This window comes from Homo sapiens, chromosome 14, assembly GCF_000001405.40.
Source record: "Homo sapiens chromosome 14, GRCh38.p14 Primary Assembly".
NCBI lineage: Eukaryota > Metazoa > Chordata > Mammalia > Primates > Hominidae > Homo > Homo sapiens.
In genome coordinates, this window is record NC_000014.9 from 73631390 (window position 1) to 73651871 (window position 20482).

Consider the following 20482-nt stretch of genomic DNA (forward strand, 5'->3'; position numbering starts at 1 on the left):
TCCTCCCACTTCAGCCTCCTGAGTAGCTAGGACAACAGGCATGAGCCACCATGGCCAGCTATTTGAAAAAATGTAGTAGGTGAAGGTAGTGGCGGCCAGGGCTGGGGTCCTGGGAGTCTAGTGGCCGCAAAGGGCATCCCAGAATGTGATGCCACTGGGTGCACAGACAGCCTCCCACATTACCAAGGGCATGCTCCCGGGGCCCTAACCTAAGACCCCAGAAGAACGGGTCGCTGCCACCAAGAAGTATAAATATGTGTGTGGAAGACTACGAGCCTTATTCGAATGACGGCATGGGGTATGGGGACTACCTGAAGCTCCCTGACCACTTATAGCAGAAGAGGGATCTGTGGTATAACTGAGACCACCTGGCCTGAGGTTGAACTGGGGATACACTGGCACCTAGACATGCATATCAGGAACCATGTAGCTATGTCCCCCACACCTGTTTCTTGGAATATCATGTGTATACAGCTCTTCGGCTCTGTGGCTTTCATGATGTTCATGTTCTGGGTGGGGGTGATTTACCCTGTCTACCAGCCCGTGGGACCAAAACAGTGTCCTTGCAATAATCTGTACCTGGAACAAGGTGGCGATCTCTCCAAAGAACCTGAGCCAGTGGTTGACTATGGATACCAGGAGGCTTTGTGGGCTTTTGCGCCCTCTAACTAAGACTCCCTCATTCCTATAAATTTAACCTTAATGAAATCCCTAATAAAACTCAGTGCTGTGGTGGTTTAAAAAAAAAAAAAGAAAAGGAAATTTGTAGAGATGGGGGTCTCGTTATGTTGCCCAGGGTGGTCTTGAACTCCTGGCCTCAAAGTGATCCTTCTGCCTCTGTCTCCCAAAATGCTGGGATTACAGGCATGAGCCACCATGCCTAGCCGGAAAACAAATTTTAAATTACATATATCAATACTTTCTTCACTGTGAAAGATTCAAGTAATACAGATAAAATAAAAGGTCCTCTTAACTCATTACCCAATCTCAGTCTTCTCCCAAGGGTAGTTACTATTACCAGTTTGAAGTGTTTCCTTCCAGAACCATTCCAGAACCATTTTGTATATATATACAAAATACAATATTCATATGTATGAATGAAAAACTATGGTTTTATTTTGTGGGTTCAAGGCCTTTTCTCTCTCTTAAAAAAACAGAAATGTAATATACTTGGCTGGGGGCAGTGGCTCATGCCTGTAATCCCAGCACTTTGGGAGGCCAAGGCAGGGGGATCACCTGAGGTCAGGAGTTCAAGACCAGCCTGGCCAACATGGTGAAACCCCATCTCTACTAAAAATACAAAAATTAGCCAGATGCAGTGGTTTGCGCCTATAATCCCAGCTACTAGGGAGGCTGAGGTAGGAGAATCACTTGAACCCGGGAAGTGGAGGTTGCAGTGAGCCAAGATCACGCCATTGCACTCCAGCCTGGGTGACAGAGTGAGACCCTGTCTCAAAAAAAAAAAAAAAAGAAGAAGAAGAAATGTAATATACTTGTAAGCTTTTCTTCTGCATACAAAAAATATACATTGTTAACACTTGTTCCAGTCCACAGGACAATAGAACTTATTTCCTTAGGGTATATATCTGTAATTCAGCTTTCTCTCTCTCTCTCTCTCTTTTTTTTTTTTTTTGAGATGGGGTCTCATTCTGTCCCCCAAGCTGGAGTGCAATGGCACAATATCGGCTCACTGCAGCCTCCGCCTCCCGGTTTCATGCGATTCTCTCGCCTCAGCCTCCCGAGTAGCTGGGATTACAGGTGCCTGCCACCACGCCTGGCTAATTTTTGAATTTTTAGTAGAGATTTGGTTTCACCATTCTGGCCAGGCTGGTCTCGAACTCCTGACCTCACGTGATCCATCCGCTTCGGCCTCCTAAAGTGCTGGGATTACAGGCGTGAGCCACTGCGGGCTGTCCTGTAGTTCCACTTTCTGAATGAAAAAGCAAAATTTATGCTCCCTCCTGAGCTCATCCCCTATGTCCCCGCTGGGCTCGTTTTAGGTCTTTGCTGGCATTCAAGTTGGGGAAGTGTCTCTCCACCAGTTTCTATTATCAATCCCTACTATTTTATAGTTCAATTCAGTATCTCATCGGAAACGTTTAAACTTTAACTTTGATAGTCTTTCTTAATCCAGGACAAAGATTACTTAAAACGGAGGAAAGGAATTTGTTAGGACCCTAGCACACTTGGCCTCCTTCAATCAGGCTTAGGGAATATTGACCCCTGGTGGCCAGTGAGGAAATTCAGAGGCGGCCAGAGGCCGGCACTTACCGTTAAAAATGCTTAACTTTATTCGCCACACGTCCGGGGTAAACTCGCGAGGGGATCCTACCTCTTCCAGATGGTTCCACACGGGACCTCTAGGAGCTCAAAGGACCCTGGGCCCTCCGAAGTCGTCTCTTCTTGCAGCCCGTTGCTAAGTGGCGCCGCAGGGACCAGCCCAGGTCCCATCACGTGGCCCTGCAGGGTTTTGCCCCACAGGGCCACGACCTGCCAGGCCGGGCCCCCCTCCTCCCTCCTCTTCAGCGCGGAACCTCGGCCGCCAGTGCCAGGCCGCCTCGACCTTGGCGGAGGTCAAAGCCGCGACAGTCCCGGACCATGTGGCCGGCGGTCCGGGCAGCGCTCCGAGCCTCTGGGGTCCCCCTCCAGGCCTGGAGGCCGATATCCACATCGTCCTTTTTCTCCCAAAAGGCCGCGACCCTGACCGTCACGCCCAAGACTGGGCTGGCCGACAAGTGCCTGGATATGAAAGCAGAAGGCTTGGGCTCGGGGGAGCCGGTGACCCTGCAGGTGTCGGGCGTCAGCCACCGAGGCCGCCTCTTCCACTCCCTTGCCCACTACGAGGTGGACAGCGGCGGGGGGCTGGACCTGGCCGGGGACCTGGCTCTAGGAGGCGACTTCACGGGCGTGGGGCCCATGGGGCTCCTGTGGAGCCTCATGCCGGCCGCTTCGAAGGATCCACGCCTCAGTCGAATGCGGAGGGCCGCCTTGAAAAACCCCCTCATAGTGGAGGTGACCATCCACCTAACGCCGCTGCAGCAGGCGGCGCCGCTGAGTCCGGCGCTGGCCTCGGCCCAGGTGCAGCGCTGGTTCTCCATCCCCGAGCTGCGCCGCGCGCCTGCGAGCCGGCCGCCTGCGGGGGGTCTTCCTGCTGCCATCAGGTGCGGGGGCCCTTTTCCGCAGAGTGCCTGACAGCAGAGTGAGGGAATCGACTGGCTTGCTTTGCTAGCTGGTTTGTCATCTGAAAACAAAGCGAGCTCCTTAATCCCTTTATTTTGTCTCCTAGACTTCAAGTGGAACATTCATTCCCCTAGATGGTGGCTAGGATCCAAATTTCATCTGCTTATGCACCTTTCTTCTGCCAGCTGCTCACCCGCCAGAGTCCTAGTGCTGCATACGCTATTCCTTAGGAGCATAGACCCTGCGTGTTTGCTATATTAAGCATAAGATTGCTGCAAAGTTTCTAGCATTAAATGCTTTTGTTTGCTTACAGCAGTCTCAACCTCCTGAGCCCAAGCGATCCTCCCACCTCAGCCTTCAGAGTAGAGTAGCTGGGACAGCAGCCATGTGCCACCCAGGTAAATTTTTTTTTTATTTTTTGTAGAGACAGGGTTTCCCTACGTTGCCCAGCCTGGTCTTGAACTCGTGGGCTCCAGCGATCCTCCCACCTTGGCCTCCCCAAGTGTTGGGATTACAGGTGTGAACCACCACACCCAGCCATCTTTCTTTTTTAAATTCTTATTTTTTTAGAGACTAGGTCTTGCTCTGTCACCCAGGCTGGAGTGCAATGGCATCATGATAGCTTATTGCAGCCTCGACCTTCTGGGCTCAAGTGATCCTTCCACCTCATCTTCTCAAAGTGCTGGGATTACAGGCGTACATGGCCTCATTTTAACCTTTTTGTTTTTTTAGAGATAGGGTCTTGCTATGCTGCCCAGACTGGTCTTGAACTCCTGGCCTTAAGCAGTCCTCCCACCTCAACTTCTCAAAGTACTGGGATTACAGACACACACAACTGAGCCTGGCTTTATTATTATTATTATTATTATTATTATTATTATTATTATTATTATTATTTGAGACAGGGTCTCACTCTGTCACCCTGGCTGGAGTGCAGTGGCACTGTCACGGCTCACTGCAACCTCCCTTCCAGGGCTGAAGCGATTCTCCCACCTCAGCCTCCCAAGTAGCTGGAACTACAGGATCTCACCACTCTGCCCAGCCACTTTTACTTTAATTGGAATAACAAAGGAATATATCTGAAAAATACCAGGAAACAATTGGCCGATAAATTCTTCTCTTGGAATAGTGAAGGAATAAAACATCCCCAACAGGACTGTTGAAAGAGAAATAATAGACCAACGTTGGGAGGATATTAGTTTGACATTTTACTATCTCTTCACACATGTAGTTCATTTTATAGTACACCTTCATTAGACCTTTAAAACAGTTTAATCCCTGTCAAATTATGGATTCTGGTGACTCTGACTATATCTTAAATTTATTGAGAAATCAAAGGGCCCTTTAAATTTGGATGTCTGGGTTTGTTTTTGTTTTTTGATTCTTTGTTTGTTTTTTGAGACGTAGTCTCACTCTGTTGCCCAGGCTAGAGTGCAGTGGTGAGATCTCAGCTCACTGCAACCTCCGTCACCCAAGTTGAAGCGGTTCTCCCACCTCAGCCTCCCGACTAGCTGGGATCACAGGCATGCACCACCACAACCAGCTAGTTTTTTGTATTTTTAGTAGAGATGGGTTTTTGGGGTTTCACCATGATGACCAGGCTGGTCTCGAACTCCCGACCTCAAATGATCTGCTCACCTCGGCCTCCCAAAGTGCTGGGATTACAGGCATGAGCCACTGTACCTGGCTTTAAAAATCTCATGCTAAAAACCAGACATCCAGCCGGATGCAGTGGCTCACGCCTGTAATCTCAGCACTTTGAGAGGCCGAGGCGGGCAGATCACCTGAGGTCAGCAGTTTGAGACCAGCCTGGCCAACGTGTAGTGAAACCCCGTCTCTACTAAAAAATACAAAAATTAGCTGGGCATGGTGGCACACACCTGTAGTCCCAGCTACTTGGGAAGCTGAGGCAGGAGAATCGCTTGAACCTGGCAGGTGGAGGTTGTAGTGAGCTGAGATCGCACCACTGTACCTTAGCCTGGGCAACAGATCAAGACTCCGTCTCTCAAACAAACAAACGAACAAACAAAAGCAGACATCCGGCCAGCACGGTGGCTTACCCCTGTAATCCCAGCACTTTCGGAGGCTGAGGTGGGTGGATCGCCTGAGGTCAGGAGTTCAAGACCAGCCTGGCCAACATGGCAGAAACCTTGTCTCTACAAAAATTAGCAGGGTGCAGTGGGGCACAAGAATTGCTTGAGCCCGGGAGGTGTGGAGGTTGCAGTGAGTCCAGACTATGCCACTGCATTCCAGCCTGGGCTATGGGAGTGAAACCCTGTCTAAAAAAAGAAAAAAAAAAGGAGATTTTTATTCTTACATAACTCAAAGCTTGCAGAACTATTTGCTTAGACTTATCAGGACTTGTACTTCAAACCAAAACACTTCCCATATATTTGGTGCGATTTTTCTTTTTCTTTTTTTCCATTTACCAGTGATTAACTCACAGGGAAAAAAATATAAAAATATTTTTACATTTATAGAATCAAAATAGCTCAAATAAATGTCTATTTCAACCACAATAATAAATCCATTTCCACAAAACAGATGTTTTCTTTTCAAAGCAAGTAGGTAGTTTTTTTAAAAAAAGATAAATTATACAATCTAATTTTCATTTAGAAAATGTTGGCTAGGTAAATGTTCTGTCATCTAACCCAAGATTCATTCCCTTTCCTGGGTTATAGATGATGGTCCTTTTGCTGGTCTCATTGATATATTTGGTGATGGAGGATTAAGTGAATCTTGAGCAAGTCTCCTGGCTTGTTGAGGTTTTGCTACTCTGCTTTGCCATTTTTTGGCTATGAAGATCTACCTCCAGCCATGAAAGACTTAAACTTAGATTACTTTGAAGAGGCAGTTAAATTTGTGCAAAGTCACCCAAAGGTGAGTGGTATGAGAGAAATGAATGAATTACTCCAGAAGAGAGTGAATAAAGGAAGTGTTACTAATGGGTTGGAAAATACCTGCAACAAATACCTGTTGAATTAATAAATAAATACTAGAGCTGTCTGATAACTCTAAAAAACTCATAAAAGACTTTCTGGCCAGGCACAGTGGCTCACGCCTGTAATCCCAGCACTTTGGGAGGCTGAGGTGGGCGGATCATCTGAAGTTGGAAGTTCAAGATCAGCCTGATTAACATGGAGAAACCCCATCTCTACTAAAAATACAAAATTAGCCGGCTTGGTGGAGCATGCCTGTAATCCCAGCTATTTGGGAGGCTGAGGCAGGAAAATTGCTTGAACCTGGGAGGCAGACGTTGCAGTGAGCCCAGATTGCACCATTGCACTCCAGCCTGGGCAACAAGAGCGAAACTCTGTCTCAAAAGAAAAAAAAAAAAAAAAAGGACTTTCCTTTATTGAGGACTTTGGTGATCCCATTAACAATTATGCTTCATTTTTCCTTTGTCTCTTTCCGTGTTTGCCTTCTTTTTCTTCAGTCTGCAGGTCAAAGGTCCAAACATTGCAGTGATTGGCTCAGGCAAAGGGTCAGAGTTGGCATTTTCCATGGCTAGCTTTCTCCCAAATATAGCTGTGGTCGTGACCATCAGTGGCTGCATCTCAAACACAACTACGCCCTACCTGTGGTAGCTTGATCCTGCTAGGACTGCCTTTTAACCTAGACAGAATCTCTGCCACTGATTGAGGAGTATACGGTTAAAGAAGCACTGGAAGACCCCTTGGACAAGCCTATCAAAAAAGCTGTATCCCTCTTAAAAAAGCCAGTGCTGGCTGGGCGCAGTGGCTCACGTCTGTAATCCCAGCACTTTGGGAGGCCGAGGCGGGTGGATTACCTGAGGTCAGGAGTTCGAGACCAACCTGGCCAACATGGTGAAACCCTATCTCTATTAAAAATACAAAAATTAGCCGGGCATGGTGGCACATGCCTGTAATCCCAGCTACTCGGGAGGCTAAGGCAGGAGAATTGCTTGAGCCCAGGAGGCGGAGGTTGCAGTGAGCTGAGATCGTGCCACTGCACTCCAGCCTGGCCTACAGTGCGAGACTCTGTCTCAAAAAAAAAAAAAAAAGAAAGAAAAGAAAAAGAAAAAAAGAAAAAGCCAATGCCCATTTCCTTTTTATTGTTGGAGAGGATAACAAGCGTTGGAAGAGCTCTGTTTATACTGACATAGCTGTGAAGTGTCTCAAAGAACATGGGAAGACAAATTTTACTCTTTTAAGCTATTCCGGTGCTGGCCACAGAATAGATTCCCCCTTACAGTCCTTTTTTCTCTGTAGCCCTGGATCCTGTATTGAGGGTGCCTATTTTGGGAGTGGGGGCAGCTCAAAGCTCATGCTATTGCTCAGATTGAGTCTTGGAAGATCTTGGAGTTTTTGCAGTTGCACTTAGGGTAAAGGCTAACTAGACAATTAAATTTATTCATTTATTTAAGAGGCAGGGGGAGTTTTGCTCTGTTGCCCAGGCTGGTCTTGAACTCCTGGCCTCAAGCAGTCCTCCCGCCTCACCCTTCCAAAGTGCTAGGATTACAGGAATGTGCAGCCTCACTGGGCTAGACACTTAAATTTAGTTATGCTTCAGAGCAAATCCAGAGACAGACTGAATATTTTTATCAAAAAATGACTGAGATCTGAACTTTTCATGGTCATCTGCAAGCTTTTAAAAGAAATAAAAATGCTAAATTCAAGTTCATCACAGCCCGCAGCTTTGGAACTATCCATATTTCTCTATGTTTGGTTTGTTTGAGCTTTATTTCAAGGTAATTGCTAACCGAAAGCCAGCTTTCAAGCTGCCACTTACCCACCTTTCCCACCTACTCTTCCTGCCACCTTCTGTACCTCCAAAGATCTAAAAAACCGGTGTATGACTATTTGTTTGTTGTATCTGTCCCAGAAGTTTTAGATATGTGTTTCTTTCTTTCTTTCTTTTGAGATAGAGTCTTGCTCTGTTGCCCAGGCTGGAGTGCAGTGGCTTGATCTTGGCTTACTGAAACCTCCACCTCCCGAGTTCAAGTGATTCTCCTGCCTCAGCCTCCCAAGTAGCTGGGATTACAGGTGCCTCCCACCATGCCCAGCTAATTTTTGTATTTTAGTAGAGATGGGGTTTCACCATGTTGGCCAGGCTGTTCTCAAACTCCTGACCTCAAATGATCCACTCACTTCAGCCTCCCAAAGTGTTGGGATTACAGGCGTGAGCCATCGCGCCCAGCCGTTTTAGATATGTTTTGACCAGGGGTGAATACATGCATATAGGCCCCTGGTTTTGTGATGAGGAACAACTGGGTTATGATAATTTTCTCATAATAGTCAGAGGCTAGAGTGAATTCTAGTAGGATGACTCAGAGGCTAGTTGGTGGTGGACTGAAGTCACAGAATATTTTCTGCTGTTAATCAGATTTTGATATGTGTCTAGCTGCACCCTGTTCCAGGATCTTTAGAGAAAGCTGGGAACTCTAAGATATTTGTCTTTAGAATGGCAACTAATTACTGAGAAACACTTGCTTTGATTCTCCAAAGTTCTCTTATCTTGGTGTAATTTTAAAAACTTTCCTTCACACTTTTGTTTAAAATTATATTTTAAAACAGGCAGGTCCTAGGTTCTAGTTGCAAATTGATAATTACACATGTAGACAATGTAATTATCTGAGGGAAAGACAGAGTTTATCCCTTCCACCTTCCACCTTCTCCACCAAAAACTTAATTACAGTTTGTGGGTGAGCTTTAACTTGTTAGAATAATCTTAGATGAAGTTATGAGTTTTTATTCTAAACACTTAAAATGTATAGAATTGAAACATGTTAAAAGTTCTGGTCCTCATTATAATTTAGTTTTAGTTTTGCAGTTGCCATTTGTCTTTACATATTTGAAGGGAAAGGTAACGATATTAATTACTAGACTTTGATTTTGGTTGATCAGTAATCTTGTGCTTACGACTGGTTTGCGGCTGGGCACGGTGGCTCACACCTGTAATCCCAGCACTTTGGGAGGCCGAGGTGGGCAGATCGCTTGAGCTCAGCAGTTCAAAACCAGCCTGGGGATCATGGCAAAACCTCGTCTCTATCAAAAATACAAAAAATTATCCAGGTGTGGTGGCACACTTTTATGGTTCCAGATAATTGAGAGGCTGAGGTGGGAGGATCGCTTGAACCTGGAAGGCCAAGGTTGCAGTGAGCCGCGATTGGTCTACTGCATTCCAGCCTGGGTGATAGAGTGAGACTCTTATCTAAAAAAAAAAAAGTGGTTTGCGAGGCGTCTTGTTGGCAGAGGTTGAAGAGTTGTTGCCCTAATTTATAGTATTATTAAATAGTTTTCCCCAAATTAACATTATTTTTAAAATTGAATACAAGTTTCAAATTATTAACATCAAGAAAAAATACAGGCTTTGGTGAGGTGGTTTAGGCCTGTAATCCCAGCACTTTGGGAGGCTAAGGTGGGTGGTTTGCTTGAGCTCAGGTGTTCAAGACCAGCCTGGACAACATAGCAAGACCCCAGTCTCTACAAAAAAATTTAAAATTTAGCTGGGGGTGATAACACATGCCTACAGTCCTAGCTATTTGGGAGGCTGAGGCAAGGAGGATCGTCTGAGCCTGTGGGGTTGAGGCTACAGTGAGCTGTGATCACACCACTACATGCCAGCCTATCTAGCCTGGGCAACCAAGTGAGACATTGTCTCCAAAAACTGAAAAAAAAGGTGTGTGTGTGTGTGTGTAAACACCACTTCCTGATTTCAGGGGTTTTTGTGTAAGATTTTGTTCTTTATTTTTTGAGTCTGAGTCTCGCTTTTGTCACCCAGGGTGGAGTGCAGTGGCGCGATCTCAGCTCACTGCAACCTCCACCTCCCGGGTTCAAGCGATTATTTTGCCTCAGCCTCCTGAGTAGCTGGAACTACAGGCGTGCACCACCATGCCCGGCTAATTTTTGTATTTTTAGTAGAGATGGGGTTTCACCACGTTGGCCAGGCTGGTCTCAAACTCCTGACCTCCAGTGATCCACCTGCCTTGGTCTCCCAAAGTGCTGGGATTACAGGCGTGCGCCACCATGCCTGGCCCTTGTGTAAGATTTTAAAATGAGGTTTATTGTTGCCCAGGCTGCAATGCAGTGCATGAGCCATCATGCCTGGTCAAGATTTATTTTATTTTATTTTTATTTTTTATTTATTTATTTTTTTGAGACAGAGTCTCGCTCTGTTGCCCAGGCTGGAATGCACTGGCATGATCATGGCTCACTGCAGCCTTGACCTCCCGGGCTCAAGTGATTCTTCCACTTCAGCCTCCTGAGTAGCTGGTACTACAGGCTCATGCTGCCATGCCCAGCTAATTTTTCTTTTCTTTTTTTTTTTTTTTTTTTTTTTTGTTAAAGATGGGGTCTCGCTATGTTACCCTGCCTGGTCTTGAACTCCCAGCCTCAAGCCATCCTCCTGCCTTGGCCTCCCAAAGTGCTGGGATTATAGGTATGAGCCACTGCACCCAGTCAGCTAATTCTAATTTGAATTGATAAACTTCTCTATTATATAAACAACCTTAAGAATTAGTGCCTATCCTAGGGTTTAAGTTCTTTACAATTTTAAGGTATGTAACTTTTAACTATTTTGCTTAATCTCTAACTCATTTCTTAAATGTGACAATTTTTTCTTCTCTTTTGTTTGGTCCACATTTTTGCTTAAAAATTAAAGATTTCTTTGTTTTGTTTTGAGACAGGTTCTCGTTCTGTCGCCCATGCTAGAGTACAGTGGCGCAATCTTGGCTCACTGCAACCTCTGCCTCCTGGGTTCAGGCAATTCTCCTGCCTCAGCCACTCGAGTAGCTGGGAATACAGGCATGAGCCACCATGCCCAGCTAATTTTTGTGTTTTTAGTGGAGACGGGGTTTTGCCATGTTGGACAGGGTAGTCTCGAACGCCTGACCTCAAGTGATCTGCCCGCCTCGGCCTCCCAAAGTGCTGGGATTACAGGTGTGAGCCACTGTGTCAGGCCCTAAAAGTTAAAGATTTCTTAACATATTCTATTTGGTTCTGTTTTGTATCATTTAACACTATTTTACTTATACTTTTCAAAGGGTCTGCTAGATATTCTGAATTAGGGAACACTGTTTCAATACTATTTATTTATTTATTTATTTTTGAGACAGAGTTTCACTCTTGTTGCCCAGGCTGGAGTGCAATGGTGCGATCTTGGCTCACTGTAACCTCCGCCTCCAGGGTTCAAGCGATTCTCCTGCCTCAGCCTCCAGAGTAACTGGGATTACAGGTATGCGCCACCACGCCCAACTAATTTTGTATTTTTAGTAGAGACGGGGTTTCTCCATGTTGGTCAAGCTGGTCTGGAACTCCCGGCCTCAGGTGATCTGCCTGCCTCGGCTTCCCAAAGTGCTGGGATTACAGGCGTGAGCCACCACGCTCGGCCTTCAATACTATTTTTAAACTTTCTTTCAACTTATTTTATCCAGGCCTGAAATAAGAGCAAGCAGACCCACACATTCTCTGGTGAACAGGTTTTGGAATCTATTTTGTCATTTTGTAGGATATGAAAGAACAAAAGAAGGGTCCAAGTTATATAATTCTTTTATTTTCTGTGTGAATGTTTTTAACCTTTGAGAATCTGGAACTCAAAATGTTCTTTATGTGAAGTGTACCAAGATTTTGAAACCTATCCAATAGTCCCATAGACAGTTTTTTAAAAAATAAACATAGAAATTGACCCTTCCGGTTTTAAAGCTTAAAATTTAGGTATCCCCCAGACATCTCAGAAAGTATCAAAGAACTTAAACTTACCAGATCACTACATATGAATTTTGGTGTACCACCACTCAGTCCACAGCAAACATTAAACCCTCATAATATCCTTTTAGATATATGTTTATATACGTGTGTGTACTATGTATAACTTTTCCATTTTTTTGCTTTGTTTTTTGTTTTAGAGACAGGGTCTGGCTCTGTTGCCCAGGGTGGAGTGCAATGGCACAATTAGAGCTCACCTAAGCCTCAAACTCCTCAAATGATCCTCCTGCTTCAGTCTCCCCAGTAGCTGGGACTATGGGTGTTGTACCACCATGCCTCGCTAATTTTTATTTTTTACAGAGCCAGGGTCTTGTTACGTTGCCCAGGCTGGTCTTGAACTCCTGGGTTCAAGGGATCCTCTTACTTTGGCCTCCCAAATTTCTGGGATTACAGGCATGAACAAACTGCACCAGGCCACTATGTATAATTTTAAAGGAAAATCGTACCAACTATTTTGTTTGGTAACTTCTATTTTTACTTGAAATATGACTATCTTTGGATGTGAATAGATGCCTTTCAGCAAGTCAATTGTACTTTTTTAGTGTAAGTACATTATTGCATTGGATGTTCAATACTACTAACCAATTTTCTCTCTCTTTTTGTTTGTTTGTTTGTTTGTTTTGAGACGGAGTGTCACTCTTGTTGCCCAGACTGGAGTGCAATGGCGCGATCTCGGCTCACTGCAACCTCCGCCTCCCGGGTTCAAGCAATTCTCGTGCCTCAGGCTCCGGAATTGCTGGGACTACAGGCGCGTGCCACCACACCCGGCTAATTTTTGTATTTTTAGTAGAGACGGGGTTTCACCATGTTGGCCAGGCTGGGCTCAAGTGGTCAAGTGGTCCGCCCTCCTCAGCCTCCTAAAGTGCTAGGATTACAGGCGTGAGCCACCAGTCCCGGCCACCAATTCTCTTTTGTTGATAATTGAGTTGATTTTTTTTTTTCTATTAAAGCTTTGAACATACATCTCTGTGCTCAGGATAAAGTCCTGGAAGTGGAACTGCTGGATCACAAAGGGTGCAAAAGTTTTTGAACAGCCAACAGCCTTCCAGAAAGGCTGTATCAATTATAAACAGCAGCGTATTTGTGTGTCCCTACTTCACCATACCCCTAGCAACTCTATGAATTATTATTATTGTTAATAATTTTTAGCTCATTTGGTAGGTGGGGAAAAAAAGACACCCTGGTGATTAAAACCAACAATTTGTGATATTTAAAATGTGGAACCGAGCTTTCAGCTGCCTCTGGCTCCCTGGAGGATCCGGGGTAAAGAAACATAAAATGGGTGGAGTTTGGCTCTGGTATTCTCAGTGGGATGGGATGGAGAGGGAAATTACAGCAAGCCGCTTATTCTCCCCTCGTCCGGAAAAGGGTGGGAAACGCCATCGTTAGGGCAAAGGAATTAAGAACATTATTTTATGAAAAGGGTAGTTGTTAGGGGGACGTTTTAAGGTTTTTAACTTTAGGCGGACAAGTCACTACAGATCAGCTGAAATTGCTTTCGGTCCTGACTACTCCTGTGCGGGGTTAAGACCTAAGGAAGCAAAAGGGCAGCCAGCAACAGCCGGACGGGAGGACCCCGGCGGCCGCCACGCAGTCCCACAATGCCCCGCTCGCACCACCCTGAGGGCGGAGAGAAAGGACCGCTGCCGGGGATAGGGCTTCCGCCGAGAGCGCCGAGAAGTGCGCACGCGCACTGACCCCGCGGGCCCTAGCAACCAGAGCAGTGACAGTAGCAACCGCCGGAATGGTGAGTACCTTTCGGGCCGCGTAGCCAAAGCTGAGAGAAGATTGGGAGTGGAAAAGGGTGACTGTGGAGTGTTGAGGGTCTGGGGGTCCTTGAACAGCGGAAGGGAGCCGGTAGCTGACGCTAGCTCTGTGGAGTCAGGGGCCCGAGGCGAAAGAGAAGCCCTGGCCGGGGGTGGTCTGTGGTGAGGGCGGCCTGGGGTGGATCGGAGGTTGGGTTAAGGTGGAGGGACTCAGACAGGAGAAAAGGGAGGGCGAAGAGCAGGAAATTCTCTAAAAAGAGCGTATTGGAGTGGGAAGGGTGATGGGAAGGAGAGTGTAGATAAAGATATCTCTTTACATAGAAGTAATTTTAGTGACCCCCCCGTCGAGATGCAGGGAGGGGCTGGTTACCAGAGGGTTCTGTATAACACGGATTGCAGCAGTTTTCGTAACCTGTGATGTACCCAGGTTGCCTTCTGAATGACTACGAGGGCAGTTATTAGGTGACACTGTAAAGCACACTCTGATGGATATATTAGAGCAGTGATTCTCAAATTTCAGTATGCATAGGTATGGGCTTGTTGGAATGCAGATTGTGAATTTTTAATATGATTGGGGGTTTCAGGAATGTGCATTTCGACAACACACCTCAAGTGATTATAAAATTGGAGGGCATCCCACCACACTGAGAAATGCTGTTGCCTTAGGTTTGAAATCTACCAGCTGTCTATCCAATGAGAGCTCTTTATGAAGTAATGGTTTTACCTAGAGATGCTCCTCAACTCTTACTTGATGTGTTCACTCTCTTGCTTACATACTTGGTAGTTCTAACTAGTCGTTTGAAAAGGATTGCAGACCCAGCCAGAGCTATTGAGCAAAGTATGTGATGTCCTACTGGATAGAGATGTTTATGAAGAAGAAGCATAATTACTTGTCTTCTTTTTGTGATTCCAGTGCTATATAAGTGGGCAGAAATTGAGCCCAGGAGATGGAAATGATGAGGAAGTCATGCCTGCCCTCAACAAGATGAAATACCACTCTTTAAAAAGTAGTTTCCCCCCTGCTTTCCTTACTTTGTTCCCCAAGCAGTTAGCTGAAAATCACTGCCAAGGAAAGTTAAAAGTTCTGGAACCTAGGTTTATATTCAGGTGAAGAAAGGCTCAGACCTAAATATTTATGAAAGTATGAACCATGGTGATTGTTGAAAATCTTCAAATAGAGAATCAGAACCAGTACAGTTATAAGTCACTTAATGATGACAGGGATACATTCTAACAAACACATTATTGGCAGTTTTGCCTTGCAAACATCATAGAATATGCTTACAAAAACCAGATGGTGTAGGCTATTGCTCCTAGGCTACAAAGTTTTACAGCATTTTACTATACTGAATACTGTAGGCAGTTGAAACAAGGTATTTGTGTATTTAAACATAGAAAAGCGGCCAGGGTGTGGTGGCTCACACCTGTAATCCCAGAGGCCTGTAATCCCAGCACTTTGTGAGGCCGAGGCGGGCAGATCACCTGAGGTCAGGAGTTCAAGATCCACCTGGCCAACATGGTGAAACTCCGCCTCTACTAAAAATACAAAGATTAGCGGGGCATGGTGGCGAGTGGCTGTAATCCCAGCTACTCAGGAGGCTGAGGCATGAGAATCTCTTGAACCTGGGAGGTGGAGGTTGCAGTGAGCTGAGATCGCACCACTGCACTCCAGCCTGAGCAACAGAGCAAGACCCTGTCTCAAATAAACAAACAAACAAACATAGAAAAGTTACAGTATTACAATCTTATGTAACCACTGTCTTATATGTGGTTGGTTGTTAACTGAAACTTGTTATGCAGCTCATGACTGTATTTAGAACTGGCTTAGTCTGCAAACTAGCAGACCTGGGTCCCTCCAGAAATATTGACCCACATAGTATTTCAATTTAAAAAAATTTATCTTTCAGTGTCTTTTTTTCCCCCTTATGACCTGCCACTTCAGGACAATGTCTTCAAATGATGATATTTCACATTAAAACCAAGATTTCCAATTTCTCTTGAAAAATAAATATTGGGGCAGGGCACGGTGGCTCACACCTTTAATTCCAGCACTTTGGTAGGCCGAGGTGGGCGGATCACGAGGTCAGAAGATCGAGACCATCCTGGCTATCATGGTGAAACCCCATCACTACTAAAAATAGAAAAAAAAAGAAATTAGCCAGGCGTGGTGGTAGGCGCCTATAGTCCTAGCTACTCGGGAGGCTGAGGCAGGAGAATGGCGTGAACCCGGGAGGCGGAGCTTGCAGTGAGCTGAGATTGAGCCACTGCACTCCAGCCTGGGCGACAGAGCAAGACTCTGTCTCAAAAAAAAAAAAAAAAAGAAAAAGAAAAAGAAAAAGAAATATGTTTCACCATTGGACACTTTTTTTCACATTTTCGTATTACTGAGATATAGTGTGTTATAACTGGCAGCATCTTTTCTTACTTAATGATACATAAAATAAAGGTGTTACTCAATGGAGTTTTTAAATTTGAAGAAGTATGGTGTATTAGGGTAGCTCTTTTCCCCAAGTCCCACCTGCTAACAGTTGTCTGGAGCTGAGTAGAGGTTATCTTCTTTACACTAGTCCTGTCCTTAGTTGGCCAGTTTTACTTATTAGTTAAGTCCATGAGGACCTTCAGGCATTTGAGTTTTTGACTCCTTCTATCCATAGGAAAACCAGTTAAACCTTATACAAATTTATATTGCTGCAATAAACAGCTAGATGGCTTCAACTCTTTTTCTACTAACAGTGTTGTGAAAATACTTTTTTATGGACCCATGCAAAAGATTTCTCTTGGAAACACACCCAGGAGTGGGATTGTACCGTCATAGGGTCTATGTATACTTAATTTGCCTAGGTACTTTTCAGGCTGCTTTCCAGAATGGCTTGACCAGTGTTTACTTCCTCCGGCAGTGCAGGAGAGTTCCATTTCTTCTTGTTTGTTCGTTTTGATACAGAGTCTCGTTCTGTCGCCCAAGCTGGAGTGCAGTGGCACAATCTCGGCTCACTGCAGCCTCTGCCCCTAGGGCTCAAGTGATTCTTCTGCTTCAGCCTCCCGAGTAGCTGGGATTACAGGCACTCACCACCACGCCCGGCTAATTTTTGTATTTTCAGTAGAGATGGAGTTTCCCTATGTTGGCCAGGCTGGTCTCAAACTCTTGACCTCAAGTGATCTGCCCACCCAGGCCTCCCAAAATGGTGGGATTGCAGGCGTGAGCCACCGCGCCTGGCCAAGAGTTCCCCTTTCTTTATGTGCTCACCAATTTTCTAACTTTTGCCAATCCGAGGGTGTGTTTTAGTATTCCATTGTTTTACTTTGCATTTTTCTGATTCTCGATGTGTTATAACACCTCATTTCATATATATATATATTTGTTGTTTGTTTGTTTTTGTTTTTTGGGGGGACAAGATCTTGCTCTGTTGCCTGGTCTGGAGTGCAGTGGCCCCATCAGGGCTCCTCCACCTCCCGGGATCCTCCCACCTCAGCCCCTGCGAGTAGTTGGGACTACAGGCCTGCACCACCACTCCTGGCTAATTTTTTTGTGTTTTTAGTAGAGAGAGGGTTCTCCATGTTGCCCAAGCTGGTCTTGAATTCCTGGACTCAGGCGATATGGCCACCTCGGCCTCCCAAAATGCTGGGATTACAAGCGTGAGCCACCATGCCCAGCCTTCTTGATATTCTTATTAGTCATCTGGGTTTCAGTTTCTGTGAATTTTCTGTTCATATTTTTACCAATTTTTCCATTTTTCTTTTTGTTTTCGAATTTTAGGCATTCCTTGTGTATTCTAAATATTGGTCCTCATTGGTTTCATGTTGAAAATATCTTCTCTCGGCCAGAAGAATAATAAATATATATATTAATTATTATAAATAATAATTATTATTCATAGTGGTGATTAGAAGTGATCCTTGATGTGCTTGAGATTTGTTTTTGTTTTTGTTTTTTTGAGACAGAGTCTCACTCTGTTGCCCAGGCTGGAGTGCAGTGGTGCAGTCTGGGCTCACTGCATCCTCCACCACCTGGGTTCAAGCAATTCTCCTCGTCAGCCTCCCGAATAGCTGGAATTACAGGCACCCGCCACCACGCCTGGCTAATTTTCATATTTTTAGTAGAGACGGGGGTCTCCCCATGTTGACCAGGCTGGTCTCGAACTCTTGACCTCATGATCCACCCAGCTCAGCCTCCCAAAGTGCTGGGATTACAGGCATGAGCCACAGTGCCCGGCTGATGTGTTTGACATTTTTTTTTTTTTTGAGACGGAGTCTCGCTCTGTCGCCAGGGCTGGAGTGCAGTGGCGCGATCTCGGCTCACGGCAAGCTCCGCCTCCCGGGTTCACGCCATTCTCCTGCCTCAGCCTCCCGAGTAGCTGGGACTACAGGCGCCTGCCACCACGCCCGGCACATTTTTTGTATTTTTAGTAGAGATGGGGTTTCACCATGATAGCCAGGATGGTCTCGATCTCCTGACCTCGTGATCCGCCCGCCTCAGCCTCCCAAAGTGCTGGGATTACAGGTGTGAGCCACCGCGCCCGGGCTGTTTGAGATTTCTAAAGGGAATATATTTAATGTTACCTTCCTAGTTAGGCCCACTTTGACCATTTTATTTGAAACTAACATCCTCCACACACATTTACATACATTCTGATACCCTTTACTCACCTCCAGTGTTTTCTTTTTCCTTAGTAATTGTTACCTTCTAATATACTATATAATTTTCTTATTGTATGCAGTTCTCCCTTGGTATTCATGTGGGATTGGTTCCAGGACTCCCTAGGATACTGAAATCTATGGACATTCAAGTCCCTTACATATAATGGTGTGGTATTTGCATATAACTTACACACATCCTCCTGTATACTTTAAATCATCTCTAGGTTACTTATACTATGCAATACAATGTAAATATTATTTAAATAGTTGTTATACTGTATTTTTGTTTTGTTTTGTTTTGTTTTGAGATAGGGTCTAACTCTGTAGCCCAGGCTGGAGTATAGTAGCATAATCATGGCTCACTGCAACCTTGAACTCCTGGGCTCAAATAGTCCCCCTGCCTCAGCCTCCTGAGTACCTAGGACTACAGGTACATGCCACCTTGCCTGGCTAATTTTTTTATCTTTATTTTTTGTAGAGATGGGGTGTCACTATATTGTCCAGGCTAGTTTCAACTCTTGGCCTCAAGTGATCCTCTGACCTCAGCCTCCCAAAGTACTGGGATTATAGGCATGAGCCACTGCACCTGGCCATTGTTTTTACAATTTGTATTATTTTTTATTGTTGTTATTGTTACTTTTTAGTGGATTTTTTTCACATGTTTTCTATCCTTGGTGGGTTGAATCTGCAGATGTGGAACCTGAGGATATGGAGGGCCAACTGTATATATTTTTATCATCTGCTCCTTCTAATAGATGTAAGCTCCATGAAGGCAGGAATCTCTGTTTTGTTCATTGATATACCTAAACACATAGAGGAATGCTTGGTAGATAATAGACAATTAATATTTGCTGAAATAAATGCATTTCTCCATTAAGTATGGTGTTTGTTATAGAGTTTTGTTATATAGCTTTTATCAAGGAATTTCCCTTTCTTTTTATTTATTTTTTATTTTATTTTTGGAGACGGGAGTCTTGCTATGGTGCCCAGGCTGTTCTCAAACTCCTGACCTCAAGAAATCCTCCCACCTCAGCCTCCAAAAGTCCTGGGATTACAGGTGTGAGCCACTGTGCCTGGCCAGGCAATTGCCCTTTAATTTTTAGCTGAGAGCTTTTATTTTATTTTTTAAAGAGCTGGGGTCTTACTATATTGCCTAGACTGGCCTTCAATTATGGGCTCCAGCAGTCCTTCTGCCTCAGCCTCCTGAGTAGCTGGGACTACAGGCATGTGTCACCAAACCCAGCTGCTGAGAGCTTTTAACATCAAATGTAGAACTTTATCAAGTACTTTTTCCATGCTTATTGAAATAAATGTGACTTTCCCCTCTAATCCATTAATTAGTTATATTTATAGATTCTTTTGTTGTGTTCCTTGTACTCTTGGGATAATCTATTCTTGATCATGGTTCAATAAACACCATTGGCTTTGACAATCTAATATTTTTTTTTCTGTTTCTTTTTCTTTTTGTAGAGATGGGGTCTTGCTGTGTTGTCCAGGCTGGTCTCAAACTCCTGGCCTCAAGTGATCCTCCAGCCTTGGCTTCCCATAGTGCTGGGATTGCAGGCATGAGCCACCATGTCCAGCTTGAAGATATAATATTGTATCTAGGATTTTCAAATCCATGTTGAAAAGTAAATTGGGCTCCTTATGTGGTTATGGCATCAAGGTTATACTAGCCTCTTAAAATAAGTTGGCAACTTTCCCTCTTTTTCTGGTTTCTGAAACAACTTGTTACAGGGAATACCCTTGAAAGCTTAGTAGAACTCAATTGTAAAAGTGTCTAGGCTTGGAGTATTGGGGGAAGAGGATAAGGGTAAATCTATCATTTTAATATTTTAAATAGTATTGGTCTATTCAAATTTTCTTGATTCTTATGACAGTTTTGACACTTTTATGTTTTTTATAGAAATGTATGCCTTGTCTGGGTTTTAAACCTTATTGCCATATGTTTGCTTACGATATTTATTTTTTATTTTGGAGACAAGAGTCTTGCTCTGCTGCCCGGGCTGCAGTGCAATGCCGCAATCTCGGCTCATTGCAACCTCCACCTCCTGGATTTAAACAATTCTTCTGCCTCAGCCACCCAAGTAGCTGGAAATACAGGTGCACATCACCATGCCCAGCTAAGTTTTGTATTTTTAGTAGAGACGGGGTTTCACCATGTTGGCCAGCCTG

At 44.8% G+C, this 20482-nt stretch overlaps 2 protein-coding genes and 1 pseudogene across 5 annotated transcripts in view, besides 3 other annotated features; 2 read left to right on the top strand and 1 right to left on the bottom strand.

Moving 5' to 3' along the window:
* HEATR4 (HEAT repeat containing 4) overlaps positions 1 to 2425 on the bottom strand; it is a 155331-nt gene extending 152906 nt beyond the window's left edge. Inside the window, exon 1 of the mRNA XM_047431370.1 lies at positions 2272 to 2425. The gene's annotated coding sequence lies outside the window, so the exon portion shown is untranslated. The remainder of the gene's footprint in view (positions 1 to 2271) is intronic.
* NDUFB8P1 (NADH:ubiquinone oxidoreductase subunit B8 pseudogene 1) lies at positions 67 to 732 on the top strand (annotated as a pseudogene).
* Positions 1939 to 1988: an enhancer, noted in NCBI's record as "active region_8706". NCBI's record gives its function as "activates an Ori minimal core promoter by ATAC-STARR-seq in GM12878 lymphoblastoid cells {active_cell/tissue: GM12878}" and the evidence as "EXISTENCE:reporter gene assay evidence [ECO:0000049][PMID:35858748]".
* Positions 8018 to 8187: an enhancer, noted in NCBI's record as "experimental_36549 CRE fragment used in MPRA reporter constructs". NCBI's record gives its function as "activates a minimal promoter by MPRAs in K562 erythroleukemia cells, with activity observed for both the introgressed and non-introgressed 14:74106195 variant alleles {active_cell/tissue: K562}" and the evidence as "EXISTENCE:reporter gene assay evidence [ECO:0000049][PMID:34662402]".
* The window catches only part of DNAL1 (dynein axonemal light chain 1), a 58747-nt gene continuing 51861 nt past the window's right edge, over positions 13597 to 20482 (top strand). For 2 of the 4 annotated variants that reach the window (NM_001201366.2, NM_031427.4), the window contains exon 1: positions 13597 to 13653. Coding sequence is in view for 1 of the 4 variants with exons in the window: in NM_031427.4 (NP_113615.2) it covers positions 13651 to 13653 (3 nt within the window). In the remaining 3 variants the exon portion in view is untranslated. Of the gene's footprint in view, positions 13711 to 19782; positions 19939 to 20482 lie in introns of those variants that run through there. The other 2 variants (XM_024449715.2, XM_017021679.3) reach the window with 2 other exon arrangements.
* Positions 16660 to 16829: an enhancer, noted in NCBI's record as "experimental_36559 CRE fragment used in MPRA reporter constructs". NCBI's record gives its function as "activates a minimal promoter by MPRAs in K562 erythroleukemia cells, with activity observed for the introgressed 14:74114837 variant allele {active_cell/tissue: K562}" and the evidence as "EXISTENCE:reporter gene assay evidence [ECO:0000049][PMID:34662402]".